This window comes from Homo sapiens, chromosome 3 (genome assembly GCF_000001405.40).
Source record: "Homo sapiens chromosome 3, GRCh38.p14 Primary Assembly".
NCBI classification, from domain to species: Eukaryota; Metazoa; Chordata; class Mammalia; order Primates; family Hominidae; genus Homo; species Homo sapiens.
In genome coordinates this window covers 143,582,024-143,598,581 of record NC_000003.12, presented here as the reverse complement: position 1 = coordinate 143,598,581, position 16,558 = coordinate 143,582,024, and the positions used below count along the sequence as shown (strand labels likewise).

Sequence of the window (16,558 nt, the reverse complement as noted above, 5' to 3'; positions counted from 1 at the left end):
TTTCAAAGGAGGCTATTGGAGGAAGTTATAATCACAGTGTAAATAGTGATTCACTGGTACAAAGAATCTGCCTGAGAAAACTGGGTAGAAATTGAACGCTCACTAGCGCCACTAATTTACCCTCCATTAGTGTCCTGAGCTTCAAGTGAAAGCAGGAGGCTCCTCTCAAGGCACAGCTACAGCCCCATCCTTTGGCTCTACCTGGACTTTTAGACACATCTCCTTAATTCTGGAAAAAGACAGGAGTGCCATTACATCTGGGCTTATTTCGTGATGCTTCATGGAAACAGCTGCGTTGCCTGTCTTTGTATGGATACAGTTTTTAAAAATGAAAATCGCCATGGCAACAGCTGCAGCTACTTATTACAGAGCAGTGGAAATGACGCTGGTATCGGTAGGGAAAGCTATGCTCTCAGAATAATGTGTCCCTTATACTGGATTTTACCCACTAACATTTTCATTTAAAAAAAAAAAGATAAAAGTTGAGAATGTGTTCAAAAGCAATTTACCAGGGACTGGAGAGCTCAGGGAATTGGTAAGTGGGTACAGAACCTTTTGTCTGCAGGCCCCGAATTGAGCTGTTGACAACAGCTCTCGATACTGCGATTCTAGGGAAGGCAGCGCCCACTGCTTATGTTTAACCCCACAGTGCCGAATATGCCACTCTACACAGAGTTGCATAATGGCGTTGACAGTGATGATTAGAATGTTAATTGAAGCCAGTTTTCTGCACCTTTTAGCGCCATACCTTCCTTACAGCTTTGATAAATCTCTACATTTGAGACTATAGGAACCACTTGGCTCCTGCCTGCCAGTAAGTGTAAAATAGTTTAAAAGTAAGCTTTAATTTCCTCTTAACTCTATTCTGAGATTAACAACATCTTTCATGGCTGTCAGATCCTGGGGTCCAGGTCCACACCATGCTGAAGTCCGAGGGGAGTGGGTGGATGAGCAGAAAGAACCCTCGGGGGGCCACAGGCGGGTGAATATGGTTTTATTCAGCAGCAGCTCTCATCAACAGCTTTCTTAAACTACCTCTCTCCTGAGCAGCTTTTCTTACGCTGTCCGCTCTGTCTCAGCTGCTTGAATTGGCCACCCCCACGCAAGGTTGCGAGGCCAGTTCTCCCTTGCCTTCAGGGTCAACAGCTTAACTTTCTCTCTTTGAGCACAAACAAGCCTGAGCTGTGTTTTGGCCCCCTCCTGTCTGTCTGCAAGAAGGACAGCTTTGGCTCTCTCTTTCTCTGGACGCCAGCGTGCCCACCATGTCAAGCCGTGTTGAGCCGAGCCGAGCCCCCCAAGAGCTAAGCCCCGTGCACAGAGTCAGCAGGACAGTTATACCTTTTACAGACAATAGTGGCTCCAAGCCAAGCATGAACTTACACGAACAGGCTATATAATAAGTGGAGGTGTGTGCCTGCGCACCAAACTTGCTGACTCATACTCGCCTGGATATCCGCCTCGGCCTTTTCCTTAACCAAAGCACATCCATGTATCTTACAATGGCTCATGCTATATGTTCTGGCACTTTCTTTTTACTGAACATGAAGAAGGTAAGTGAAGAGGAACATAGAAGAAAAAAAAAGATTTACCGTGACATATGTTTAAGACCTCATACAAGGTCTGGGTGTGTGGTGGCTCATACCTGTAATCCCAGCACTTTGGGAGACCAAGGCAGGAGGACTGCTTGAGCCGAGGGGTTCAAGACCAGCCTGGGCAACAAAGTGAGACCTCAATCTCTACAAAAAATAAAACTTAGCTAGGTGTGGTGATGCACACCTATGATCCCAACTACATGGGAGGATGAGGCAGGAGGATTACTTGAGCCCAGGAGGTCGAGGCTATAGTTAGCCATATTCATGCCACTGTACTCCAGCTTGGGTGACACAGCAAGATCCTGTCTTTAAAAAAAAGAAAAAGAAAAAGACTTCATACATTGTAGGGAGAAACCCTGCATTTTGAGTTTTTAATGAGTTTTTAAAATATTCTGTAAGCATGATGTCACATCATTTTAATGATCCCATAGACCATATCCTTGATAAAAACAGCCAGACAATTCGACAGGATCTATCTATGAGGAAACCGAAAAATGATATCAATATTAACTTATGGAAATAATAAAACTTCAAAAAGGCTACAGATAAAAAAGCCTTGAGTATAGCAAGAACATCCATCAAAACCAAAATCCTTCACTCACTTCCAAAGAACTCTGATACCTGATGAAATGACCCAGGTGTGTGTATCTCTCTGTGTATGAGTGTGTGTGTGTTTGTGCACGCACACATACACACACACACGTTGAGAAGAGATTAGGATTTATATTATCTGCTTTATCTCTCACAAATTTCAAATCTCTTTTAAAAAGTTATTCCAAAATTTTTTTCTTTAGCTATGGGCCCTAAAGCTTTAGAGTATGTATTTACCACCAAATTTTCATGTGATCCAGGCTTTACTAAACTATGTCGTACCCTGGTTTGTTTCCCTCTCATCACTCAGACGACATAGAGAAGCCCACGGAGAAAGTTTTTGCCCTAGGCTATAGGAAACATATTGCAAAAACCCTCCATCTCATCCTGGTCCAGAAAAATGACTGAAACATAAAAACATTCCCCCCTCAAAGCCCAGCCACTAGGGATTATTTTAATTTTTTTTACTAAGACAAAGCAGCATATTAGAATCTATTGTACAACAAGGAGTAGGTCCCATCTCCCTCCTTTCTGCTGCCAAACCTGTTCCTCATTTAAACTAACCAAGCAACTGTACACCCAACAGTGCCAGATCGGGGATTAAACACCACTTGAAGGAGTCTTCCCAGAGAAATCTTCATTGCTGTTTTATTGCCCACGTTTATTCCCATATATCCTTTGTCCTGCCAATCATGGCTAATTTTTCAGTCAGTACAAGCTTCTGCCAGTCTTGTAGTTTCTGTCCAGTGCTCTCTCTTGCTCTCACTTCCTCATTTCTATACTTCACCTACATCACCCTAATCAGTTTTTTCATAGCATTGTATCTGATCTTAATTGAGAGACTCAAGAGGAATACAACTCTAACAATCTTGTTTTCACTAAATTAAGCAAGATTGAAGGATGTATTGGTTTAAATCCTGATTCAGGAAAGAGAATGTTGAAAGTAATGCAGCAATAAAGAAGGGAGATACCATTCTCTTCATAAGAAGTCAAAGCATTTCCCTGGATAAGGTAGCCTCAGCAGATGCTTGATAAGGATTGTTGGTAGAAAATGGATCATCACCATCTGAAGTGAAATACATCTTAGTATAATTAATTTTTCATTTAAAAAGATACTCAATTTTGCTGAACTCTGAAGCCAAAAGAAATATGATTTTGTGGGAGGATCTCCCCAACAGCTCAGCAAAGAGGGCCAAATCCACTAGCTCCACTCAGAGCCTCTGCTGATGAGCTTAAGTCACAAGAAACCACTGCCCCATATCCTTGTGTCTTTTGAAACAGAAATCATGCATTCAAAAAGAAGTCTTCCAGGTTCCATTTCTTAGTGACATCCTGTCTAGATGTACTCCAGTCTGCTTTGGTGGTATAGGTTTTCATCATTTTGTCCCCAAAGGAATCTCCATTTGGCAATACATTCTGTTCTGATAGAAAAATAATGTTTTAATTATCTGTACAATTTAGTAGCAGCCAAGGACAGATATACTACTTCCTCCCAGATAACAAGCCAAACATTCCACCTTTCAAACATAAACATTTTGTTGTGCATAGGGGAAAGTCTGGAGGGAAGCGAATCCTTTTCCATTTCTGTTTCAAAGGCTCTTCTTTCTCAGAATAGCCCTTGGGGCCACATTTTTTTTTTCTGGTTTAATATTAAATAAAGAGCCAAGAAAATGTGCAGATACAAGTTAAACTAGATACTTTAGAGACCTTACCAGTGGGGACTACATAGGACCCAAGATAGGAACTTACCGTTTGGGACCACCACATACAACAAACCTTTCGTTGATGCACAAACTTCCCAACATACAGTTCTCTGGGTGGGAGCATCAAAATGCAGAAGAGCTTGGAACCAGATCAACCAGGATTCTAATGTCAGTCCTACCACTTGCTCACCACGTGACTTTGGCCACCTGGTTAACACTCCTCAATTTCCTCTAGTGATATGTAAATAATATTATCTCTGCTATGAGGTTATTGTGAGGATTACAAATAATGTAAATAAGATACATATCACAGTTCTGGCTTGCAAGAGGCCCTCAATAAACGGCAGCTATTAACATTGCAATGTAGAAAGCACAAAGTCCAAGAGAATTTCAACATCGAACATTTTGCTGAAATAGATATATATGCTTTCCAAATTCAGTATTTAAGACTCTAAAATTAAGCTGGGATTGCACATGGTGATCACTCAGTTTACTAACAAATTACCTTTTTATATCTTGCTAGCGTACTGTATTATGGTTTGCAAAGCCAGAAATTTTTTTTTTCTCTCTCCTCATTTTGGGAACTTACCAATTAAGCTCTTTTTTTAAAATCCAGAATTTTAAGGGCTGAACATTTTAATGTAAATAATTTAACAGAACCAATACCCTCCTTCCCCTCCATTGCCACCAACACAGACTGGCTGGTGGCATAGCCAAGGATTGTCAGGCAAATCCAAGGCAGAGGATGGCAGGGGTACTTTTCTGGTTCTCTGAGACTCCATTTTATTATAGTCCCCACATTCTGGCATTAGGTTTGTGGGGTTTATCATACTTTTCCCATGGTTGAGGTTGCCTGGGTCTTCACCATCACATTTCACATGAAGTCAAGGTGCTATAATCTCTAATTATGCATCAACATCCTTTTAATGACATTCATTAGCATTAAGTGATAAGGTAGGCTTTTCATGAATAAAAACAAGGATTTTGCTATTTCTCACTATAAATTTTACAGCCCCTCTCCCTCTTTCTCTTTTCCTTTCACACATGCACAGTAGATCTGAAAGGTGCCACAGTCCTTTATTTTATTTATGTAAATGACACTCTCCTCTCCTATCACTGGATCACCTCTGTTTCTATTTGCATGTTTCCTAACAATGGCCCTAAAGTATTTTTTAATTGGATTTTCCAAGAAGGTGATAATAGGTTTGAATAAAAGTTTAATGAATACACTTAATCCAGAGGAGACACTGGGATATAATTATTAAATTCTACCTTTTGTATATACCCTTGGTTCCACCTGGGGAGTATAGTACAACAGTACCCACTAGCTGGTAGCTTATCCATCAGATGGTGAGAATGGTAATACAAAAGAAAACCTGATCAATAAAAACTACAGAGAGAGAAAATGAGAGATTTGCTATAAAAGGAGTAGAGGGAAAGCATCAAAAAGCAGTCCTCACTCTCTGCCACCTGTGCTCCCAGGAGGAGCCCTACCTTTGGACACCTTGTACCAACTCCTCCTTCTGGCCCGTACCTTACCTACGTCCTTTCTTCTTTATGAACCGTATGCACAGTTCTCTAGTTTTAACCCATCTTAGACAAAGGCATATGCATTCCAAATTTTTTTTTAATTCTCTCCTTTTAACCCATCTTAGACAAAGGAATATGCATTCCAAGTTTTTTTTTAATTACTATTACCAAGGTGTTACTTATTTCATAAATTTTCCCTCAAGGAACACTTCTCCCCCATGTTCCAGGGAGCATAGGCCTGTTTCTCCTGTTTGCTTTAATGACATGTATATGCAGACAGTGGATCTTTTGAAGATCTAGCCATGGGTAAACTTAACCAAGGCCTGGGAGCTGCAGTGTTTCACACATTCTGGTTGACCTGGAGAGAGCTGAGCCCTGGTGATGGTGGCAGGGATGGTGAGTCCGGGCCAGATGACCTTTGATGTATTGAATCAATACAGTTAACATCATTTACATCATGAATAGAAAGTAGAGCAGATCCAGGCCATAAATTAATGTATGCTTCATGGTGTTACCCACTACACTTCCCAACTCTGTCAGTCACTCCCATGTAAACACAACTCTCAAAACCTCACTTTTCTATCTACATATACTTAGGCATCAGGAACAGCCAGTCTTTCTGATCTATCATTAATTTAATTGTGTTCTCACATATGTTGTCTGCTAGCCTGGAGCAGCCACGTTTGATCCCAGCCATGCTGGAAGAGTGCAAAAGTCATGGTCCAGGGCACAGGTTTTCTTCCATTATCAAGGCACTTTTTTTGTTGTTGTTGTTGAGACAGGGTCTTGCTCTGTCACCCAGGCTAGAGTGCAGTGACCAGTCTTGGCTCACTGCAGCCTTGAACATCTGGGCTTAAGTGATCCTCCCACTTCCACCCTGCAAAGTGCTGGGATTACAGGCGTGAGCCACTGCGCCCAGCCACCAAGGTCCTCTTGTTTCATGTGCCTTGCACTGATTATTCAATTCTTCCTCTTGTCTCACTTTCTGCCAGTTACCATTTGCCTCAGCTTTTGAACACTCCCTCCTTGTTCTACTGTCAGTATTTGCAGATCACTACTTCAGTGGTTTTTAACCTTTTGGGGGGTCATGGACCACATAGAGAAGGTGATGAAAGTTTTAAGGAATCTTCTTCCAGAAAATTGCATGTATGCATTTACAAATGTTCAGTTTACACTCATCCCCAGGCTTCCAGAATATTGATTTCCTGAGTCCCTTGCTTGTTGTTCACATGCTACTGATAGCTTGTTTACCTGCTTCTAACTTGAAGTGTCCACTGACCTCCCTCCTTCCCAATGCCTATGTAGTCTTCCAGTCTACATGTTCCCCAAGCCTCTGACCTATTGTCCAACTCGATATGTAAAAACCATCCTCTTGGTACTTCAAGGCTGCTCCAGCATGCAGGGCCCTAGTTCCTGGCACCAAGCAATATATTGTGCTCCTCCATGGCATGGCTATGGCCTTGACAGATGAACTGTTCATCCTTATATCTAGCCTCTGACTCTGTGTTAGTAACTACCTTTATTGCATGGACAAGACAGGTCTATTAATTGCTTGAGTTAGTAATACATCAGTTCTTACAAGCTGTATTGGCTTGAGATTCAAATATATGTTAAAGTCCATATTCTTATTCCAGATAAAGCCATGTCCTGAAGAGCTAATACCAGAGAGGACTCCTCTATAGAATATACACTTCATGGCAACGCCTAGAAACATATAAGTTAAGAATATTACATAGAAGCAAAACTTCCTTTGATAAGATTTGCTGGCCTGCAGTTCCCATGCTTCACACATGACACTGAAATCTGTGGGAATGAGGCAACTACCTTTGTGAAATACATTAGTTTAAGAAGATAACTATGTGCTTTCCTTCCAAAGATAACTTGAACCGAAGTGAAATTATCTGCAACTCTAAGAAGATGGATACAGATTCTTAATTAAATTGAGCTGTGATGGGGGCCCAGATGCTCACTTAATTGCTAATAAATGGGAGATCAGGGAAGGGTCTGGGGGAATGAGTCTATCAGTGCAAATATTTTCCAGGAGTTGGCTTGTCACTAGGTGAAACTCCCTCAGGCCGTCTCAGGCAGCTGTTTATAATGGGAGTGGGGTTTATCTAATGTGAGAATGAAAGGCACCCAGATTAAGAAGGCAGCCCATTGTCTATGAAGACTCCTTTGACCCAGAGAGGAAACTAGCATTTTATTCAGCCACTCATCACAGTCCTCAGCACACAGCATTTATGAAACGCTGCAGGCTCCAATCTAAGCAAGTGCCCTATGCTGATTCTTCTTTATCTCTATGTAGCATGTGGTGAGCTGTGAATTGGTGATCTTGCCATGAAAGCAAACTCCGTTGTTTTCATGGTTTTTTTTCCTTGACTGTTGCTAATCAGCAAGTCTACACAACTTTATTAAACACCCTCTGTTCACAAACACATTTTCCTTCAGGTGTAGCCACAGGATTTCTGTGGTATATCTACCTCGGTGTACCCTTCCCTGAAAGGCTGCTAAAAGTTCAGCTTTGTTAGATTTGCAAAACCATGGATCGTCCATGCTTAGTGATTGTTAACAATTTACATGCATCCCCTTGTTTGATACTATCCCAGTAGCCTTCTGCTCTATAGGACTTATTAAGAAAAAGATGAATTCAATATTTGATCAAACTCTAAGCCTATTGTTCATTCTACCCCAAAAGATTCTTATAATGTTCTAATACACTAGTTGGAATTCCCAAATGCCTTTATATTATTAGAAGTAGAGCTTAGTTTTTATTTAGTTTCTTTTGAGCAAATGGTGAAAGATATAGCTAATGCAAATAGCAATAATAACAGCTAATATTTTTGGAGTGCTTTCCATGTTGTAGGTAACATTTTAAGCACTATACACATATTAACATATTTAATCCCCACTCTATGAAGGAAACACAATTGTTATCACCATTTTCCAGATGAAGATGCTGAGACAGATAAGTAGTTACTCTAAAGAGACAGTAGTCACCACTTGGAAAAACAGGACAAACTGCGTAGGATGGCAAACCTAAGTTGGTGTTGGTATGAATGCCAGGAGATATGGGATATAGTTTCATATTAAAACCCATTCAATATAGAGGAGAGGTCTCCATTAAGAAATCTTGGCCTGTAAGTAGCCCTAGGTTGTCAGCAAAACTCCTCATATTGAAATAGATATTTTAACTAATGTAATTTTTTTTCTTGCAAATTAATACTAGAAATCCTGAAATTTTCAACTTCCAAGAGTGGACTTTGCCTCAGTCTATGAAGTTGGGGTGTATGTTCGAGTTATTTCTCTGTGAGCACATTCCGGTGGTAGAGCCAGGCATTTCCACTCCCCAGTCACAGGCTTTCCCTTGGTGAGATCTGAATCTAATGATGCTCCATTTACCTGCAAGTTACCTTGGGCAAGTGATTTAATCTCCCTGAGTCTATTTATCTCTGAACTGAGAACAATACAGTCATGCATGTCTTAAAAACAGGGATATATTCTAAGAAATGCTTTGTTAGGCTATTTTATCATCATGCAGACATTATGGAGTGTACTTACACAAGTCTTCTAGATGGTATAACCTACTACACAGCTAGGTTATATGGTATAACCTATATCTTCTAGGCTACAAACCTGTACAGTATGTTATTATACTAATATTGTAGGCAGTTATAACCCAATGGTAAGTATTTCTGTATCTAAACGTAGAGAAGAGACATTAAAAAAATACCGTATTGTAATCTTACCGGACCACTGTTGTATATGCAGTCTGTTGTGGATTGAAATGTCATTATGCAGTGCATGGTTGTACTTTTTTTGTTAGATAATTGGAAGGATTAAATGAGGTGAAATTTTAAAAGTTACTTAATCTATCTAAGCCATAATTTCCTTATCTATAATGGAAATAATAGTAGCACCTTCTTTGGGGTTTACTTTGAGGGTTAAAGAAGATAATGCTTATAAAAATGCTTAACATAGTGCTTGACACATAGTGAATGCTTCATAGAAATGAATACAGGGAATCGTATTTTGAGGGCTCAGTAAACATTGGAGAATTTGACCTCCTTCTCTATTTTCAACCGTGGGGATTAATATTTGGTCTTGCTTGCACCTGTTTATGATTATATTTTAACTTTAGCTGGATTTCCATCTTTGGTGGCTATTAACCTACTTTTCCATACCTTTTTATATCTATTATGACTAAAATTTCGCATATGACAGCATTCTTTGGAGCTAAGATTTCATTAATGAGGATTAAAGAAATTGAAAAGTTGGAGAAAGGATAGAAATTCCCATTAGGCCATGAGAATTATTCTCTCTTTCTTAAATGAATAGGCCCACAGTAGTGGGATTCAAATTCCTATTTCTGCTTTAAAGAGAAATACAAAGAAAGAAAAAGAAATAAGAAGTGAATTTGCAAGTTGCTTTTATCTTTAGGACTATCTCAAATTCACTTTCCTCTCAATATTAGGTATAAGAGAATATTTCTCAAAGCCCACAGACTAATTCAATTCTGACAACATGTTTCAAGCTAAATTGGAAAGTAATTTAAGATCTCTTTTCAAAGAAAATGCACATATAATTCATAACAAACCTCCTTTAACTCTTCTTCCCTTTTAACCAATTTTAAACTCAGAGGCCTCTTTGTCACCTTAAAAGTTGGAACTTAATGGACCAGAGCCACTTAGGAATCTGTCAAAGGCTTTCTTCTGTGCTGAAATTTGTAACTGTTCTTGATGTCATCATCAACCTGGCTCCAACCTAAATCATCTGCATCCTCTATTGAAGTACTGCTCCTTACTGGCTGCGTGCTCAGACATTTCCAATGTCAGGATTTGGGTTAGCACAGGAAAGCCAAGTACCTTACTACCTTTCCTGGCAGGCCTGGAGGAAATTGGAAAATAGATAGCAAGTCAATGACCCTCAGGGTGGGAGGACCCTTGAGGCCACATTATAACTCTCTAGGGCATGAATTTCCTCCACAGCACCCTGGCAAGTAACTCTTTTATTCTATGTTTAAAGCATCTCCAACTACAGAGAATTCACTACCCTTTTATAGTACCCATCCCATTTTCCATCAGATCTAAGAATTAGAAAATTTTGAAATATAATATAAAGCTGGGAATCTGTCTTCCTATGATACGTTACTTTTGGACTATATCTTGTCTTCTGGAAATACAAAGAATGAGTCCAGTCCTTCCTCTGCACAACCACCTTTCAAATGCTCACTGCAGCTGTTTCTGCTAAATTAATCTATACTTTGAACTCCCATACTTCTCTCAATCTTTTTCTTCACTACTCTACTTTATTTCCTGTGGTCTGCTGTTATTTGTCAGGTCTCGTTTAGGTGGTGGCATCCAGGCTGATGAGGACAGGCTTGGCTGCTGCAGCCTTTGAAGAGTGTCATGGGATCATGTTGTCTCCCACCCACCTTCCTCCACTGTAACTAACATAGACTTCACCTGGAATATTCCATCACACCCCTGTCCTCTACCCCAACCCTCCAGTGCCTGCTCTTTCACCCTAGAAGAAAATCCTAACAATGTCCCGAAAGGCTCTATAAGACATGGCCCTGGCCCGGCTCCAGCCTGACTCCAGCCTGACTCCCACCACTGTCCTCCCCACCATTTCCCTCCAGCCATGCTGGCCTCCTTGTGGCTTCTCAGACCCACTGAACAAGCTTTGCTTCGGTGCCTAGAAAGCTCTCCCTTTATTTCATTCAGGACTCCACTTAATAATCTTTGTCAGAGAAGCCTTCCCTGACCATCCCAATCCTCTCTGTCCCATCCTCTCTTGCTGTTTTATTTTTCTTTTCAATCCTTGTCATTGAATTACACATTTATTTGCTTAGCTATTTATTATGTTTTCTTCTCCACTGAGATGTAAGGAACATGAGGTCAGGAGCTGTGTTTTGTTCCCTGCAGTACCTTCAGTGCTAAGAACAATGTCTGTACTTAGTAGATGTTCAATAAATATTTGTGGATGGAATGAATCAATTAATTCAGCCTGAGATTGCGTTATTCCCGAGGAAGCCATGATACACTAGCTTATCCTTCCCACGGAATTCCTCTTGTATTTTTCTCTTGTGCCTGACATCAAAATGACAAGATGATATTCATCAAGGATTTGGAAAATCACTCTCTGGTATACATTTGGATTCTTAAGGAGCAGTCATTAAATGGTCCCTCAGAAGCAGAAAGAGTTAATTGATGTTTCCCCTCAAACACAGCTCTTGACTCTGCAGGGTCTTTGGCTCTTGGGAAGGTAAAACCCTATGGTTCTTACTCAAGCTCAGTGAACTTTGGCCAGGACCTCTTATTATTAAGAAGCAGCTCTTCTAACCTCCCAGGGTGCCTGGAATGCCCCCAATTTCTGAAGTCATTATGTTTTACAGTAGGTTCTCTTGACAGAGCTTCATTGGCCTTTGGCAGAACATAAGCCAGAATAATGGGCAGGGAGATGCCAGAACGAATTCCGATGTGTACACACAATTCTTGGCCCCATAAAAATCAATTCCTTATTCATAATTAAGCAACTTATCTGAGAAAGGGCAGGTTGGTACAGTTATTAAAAGATAAATAATAGATAAGGATCCACTTCTTTTTTTTAAGGCATAAAGAATTTTAAACACAAAATAGCACTGTAATTGTTTTTCATCTACTTGCTTCCTACCTGTGACACCCAGGCCCAAAAAAACAGAGCAGGTTTTACACATTTTCGTTGCCCCTTTATGTTGTGTTGGTCCTTAAAATGTGTCTTTAAAAGCAGAATGACAAGGCAGCTGTAGATGTGGAGAAAAGAAACTAGAAGCACTCCCACATAAATGTCACATGATGATCTTGTGGATCTTTTCCTGTTTACCAGATTGGGGTTAGGAACCATGGCTGAAAACAGAAGTTGCTAAATGGTTTCATACTAAAAAGAGCAGCAAGTCTCCCCAGCAGTTAGGATGCTCACCCCTCAGCTGGCTTAACTGGCATCAGAAGCAGCCTCATTTCCCCCGCCCCCACCCCATCCCCTTTGCCTCACATCTGTGTATGACGGGGTGGGGAAGGAAAGGGGTTATCCCTGGGGAGAGTGCAGTGTTTGAGGTGTAAACTGTTATACTGTTATCCCTTCCCATGAAAGTTCTTCCTCTTCCCTAAGCCAAGGGGAAGGGGAGTCTACTGGAATCACCTGGAAAGGCTGGTGCCACCTGCAAGGACAGAGGCTGCGAGCTCATCCCACAGTGTAGAACCTGCAGTGGAGCCAAAGCCCTCTCAAAGCAGAGCAAGGGAAGGGAGTTATTGGACATGGCCCTCAGAGTGTGGGCTCACACAAAACACAGAGACCAGCACCTCTTCTGGCCTAAAGATTTCTGAAAGCAGGAGTCAGCATGAGCAGAACCTGAAGGCTCTTGGGTTTGATGTGCCTTGAGAGTATGTGGGGTAAGCCCACCCAGCCCAGTGTTCTATGGCCCATGGAAGGTACTCAGGGGAACCCCAGATTAAGGAGATTGGCGATGTTAGCCCAAAATATCTGTGACAGGTCTCAGTCAATTTAGAAAGTCTACTTTGACCAGGTTAAGGACACAACCGTGACACAATCTCAGGAAGTCCTAATGACATGTGCCCACAGTGGTCAGGGTATAGCTTGCTCTTACACATTTTAGGGAGACATGAGTGTATAGTATGTGTAAGATGTACATTGGTTCAGTCCTGTAAAGAGGGAGAGCTGGAAGTGGGGCTTCCAAGTTAGAGGTAGGTAAGAGACAAAAGGTTGCATTCTTTTGAGTCCTTGATCAGCCTTCCACTGAATATACAATTTAGTCTGGCTCAGTGAAATCTGTATTTTTACATAAACTATAGGGCAGAAACAATCAGATATGCATTTGTCTCAGGTGAGGCTCAGAGGGATGACTTTGAGTTCTGTCTGTCCTTTGTCCACAAGGAATTTCCTTTCACCTCCTGAGGGGTGACAGGCACTGAGCTGCCCAAGTGGCTACTGACCCAACCCAAGGAAATAGGCTGGAAGTGTATAGACCTGGAAGATCTTGTGGCAGCTGTGAAGGGATTCTCAGCAAAATGGAGGTGCCATCATGCCAACAGAGGTCTCTAAGACAGGGACAAAGCAGCAAAAAGACTGAGACCAGGCCGGGACCCTACACACCGCTGACAAGCAGTTACGCCCATAAAGAGGAGAGCTGGGCTCCCCAGCCCTCCTCCAGGCTTCCATCACCAGCAGACACTGGCACCAGGTGTGAGGAGGAGGAGCATGCTGCCTTCCCTCCTTTCCAGTCATCCTGCTGCTGCTCTAGAATATTCTACAGGGACAACAGGAATCCACCTTTGAAGATTTAGGTTTTAAGTTGGGCTGCGCTAAGTTTTAATAACTGAAAGGAACTCAGTAATGGGATTTGACCAAGATATCATTAATGGAACTACTTACCCAGCACAAAGGGGGATTTGATATAGTACAGCTGGAAGCAGTGATTGGAAAAAAGATCCATTTCATATTTATGTATGTTCCAACTAATCAAGAACTTTTCAATGAACTGGTGCCAATAATTTTTTTGTTAGGGATTACATATTTGGCAGAGAAAATGGAAGGTTCTTTTGTATATCTTTGGCTACAGTAATCATTTTCTCATTTTTTCTGTAATGACTAAATTAATAGAAATCCTGCAAGAGATACAATATGTTCACTTCATATGTTCTTTTCATAAGCTTTCAAGCGACATTGATTTCATGTTAACAAAGGGAGTGAGGCTGGACTGAGGCTGGAGAAGCGGGCTGTTCTAATTGGCATGGGCACCCAGGAGGGTGAGTAGGCTGTGGGATTTGAGAGGACCGGTCAGGGAGAGCATCCTGTGGAACCAGGGCCGCCAGGAGCTTGAGGTGGCTGGGTAGTTTCTGTGGGTAACTGTGCGGCAAAGTGTCTCAGCAGCCCCAGTAAAGAATAACAGGGGAAGGTGGTGTTGGAAACTAGGAGACCTTGAGGAAGAGTGTCGTGATCAGGAGAGAGATGACTCCGTAAGGCCACAGTGGAAGGGCAGCCAGAGCCACAGAGGGGAGGGCATTGTTGTGGTGCCATCTATATAATATTTTTCATACCTATTATTTTATGTTCACTATCAGCAGCATTTCACTCACAACATCTCTTCTTCCTCCTCTTTTTCTTCCTTCTTCTCCCCCTCCTCCTTCTTCTTCATTACTAGCATTTATTGAGCACTTTACTATGTGCCACACACCATTCTGCACAAAACAAATTCATATGATCAGATGATCCCTGCCACCCAAAGATGGTAGGCCTGGGACAGTCAGAGTGGGAGAGACAGGTGGTAAAATCTTAGTTCTGTTTGGATAGAAGTTTTGATTGAACATTTGTTTGAAATGCTTCTTTTAGAACTAAATGAAGCACTCAGAGAGAGAGGTGATTTATTTAAGAAATGCTTATCTAGTTCTTACTGGGTGAGACACACCATTTCAAATGCTTTATAAACATTAATCCATTTAATTCTCATAGCAACCCAGTGTGGTTGGTACTATTATTGTCATCATCATTTTATAGAAACTGAGATAAAAGTGGTTTCAATAACTTGCTCAAGTTCACATAGGCAGTAAGTGGCAGTAAGCTGAGACTTACACCCAGAACTCAGATTCAGATTCTATGCTCTTAACACTGCCTAAGCTATCAGACCCATTCCTTGCAGGAGCATCATATAGAAGAAAAGATGAGTTGTAGAGAAACACTGAAGTCTCAATAATGTCTGTGAAAGTGAAATGATACAGTAAGCAAAATGATCCTTATTCATGTTGCTTTCATCAAAGAATTTAGGATACTTCATACATTTCAAAATTTTTGAATAAAAGATGCTGCACACATTTATTTTTGAGTATAGGTCCAATACACTGTCATCAAACTAATTTTGCTGAATAATCTATTGTTGAACAGAATGAATCAATATCCTGGACTTATTTCCAATTTATTTATTTTTAAATTTTAATTTATATATATTTTTATTTATTTATTTTGAGACAAGGTCTTGCTCTGTCACCCAGGCTAGGGTGCAGTGGCCCAATCACAGCTCACTACAGCCTCAACCTTCCCTGCTCAAGCAACCGTCCCACCTCAGCCTCCTGAGTAGCCGGGACTACAGGCAAGTACCATCACACCCAGCTAATTTCTGTACTTTTTTTAGAGATGGGGTTTTGCCATGTTGCCTGGGCTGGTCTCACACTCCTGTACTCAAGCAATCAAAATCCACCCACCTCGGCCTCCCAAAATGCTGGGATTACAGGAGCGAGCCACCCTGCCCAGCCTGGCTTCTGCTTCTTTTGCCTCATTTCTTACTAGAAGCCAGAGGACTTTGCTTATAGAACATCCTCCACTAAACTTGAAGAGATGCAACTCAAGCTGAGTCTCCTGACCTATTCTTGTCCATGGAGCAGACCCCTGCCCACACAGCTGAGGGCACTCCTTCCCTCCTTGATCCACTGAGCCAAGAGCTGCATGAAATACATGAGAACATTTTAGCCCCACTCCTATGGCCATTTCTCTGCGGTACCTGCCTGGTACTTTCCTTCCTGGACACCCTGTTGTTCTTATGCAAAAGTGACTAGTTCAGCCCCAGCAACCTCAGAGCTTGGTGTGCCCTGAGGGCAGTCACACCCCATTTGCCCACAGTGGTAACTGACCACCCTGTTGTTATTGTGAGACTTGTGGAAGTTCTCAGCAGAATGATGATGATGACGGTGAGGATAAATAACATTCACTGAGTATTTGAGTGTACATATAAGTACTCAAGGAACGACTTAATCCACAAGATATATCTAAGAGTTTTAAATGTATCTCATATCCTCACAACATTTCTAGGGGATAAATACTATTATTATCTCCATTTTACAGATGAGGTAAATGATTCTGAATATGCAGTAACTTGCCCAAGGCCATATAGCCAATAAGTATCAGATCTTGGGCTCAAATTAAGAGGCACAGGTGTCAGTTTCAAGATTAGATTGATACCCATAAAAGTACCCACAATATGACTGTGCATAGTCAATGTCTGCTAAAAAATCTTGTGGGTGGTGATTTGCTTCAAGAGATAACGAGCTTTTGCAAGCCTCCTTCCTTCATGCTTTTCTTTCTTTATTCCTTTCTCCT

At 41.3% G+C, this 16,558-nt stretch overlaps 1 protein-coding gene and 1 long non-coding RNA gene across 6 annotated transcripts in view, besides 1 other annotated feature; one reads left to right on the top strand and one right to left on the bottom strand.

Annotated features, from left to right (window-relative positions):
• Positions 1–16,558, top strand: part of SLC9A9 (solute carrier family 9 member A9) — a 583,247-nt gene that overhangs the window by 249,887 nt on the left and 316,802 nt on the right. The gene's annotated exons all lie outside the window — the stretch shown is intronic.
• The window catches only part of LOC124906294 (uncharacterized), a 29,525-nt gene continuing 16,280 nt past the window's right edge, over positions 3,314–16,558 (bottom strand). Inside the window, exon 3 of the long non-coding RNA XR_007096123.1 lies at positions 3,314–3,604. This is a non-coding gene — a long non-coding RNA (uncharacterized LOC124906294). The remainder of the gene's footprint in view (positions 3,605–16,558) is intronic.
• Positions 12,740–12,799: an enhancer, noted in NCBI's record as "active region_20656". NCBI's record gives its function as "activates an Ori minimal core promoter by ATAC-STARR-seq in GM12878 lymphoblastoid cells {active_cell/tissue: GM12878}" and the evidence as "EXISTENCE:reporter gene assay evidence [ECO:0000049][PMID:35858748]".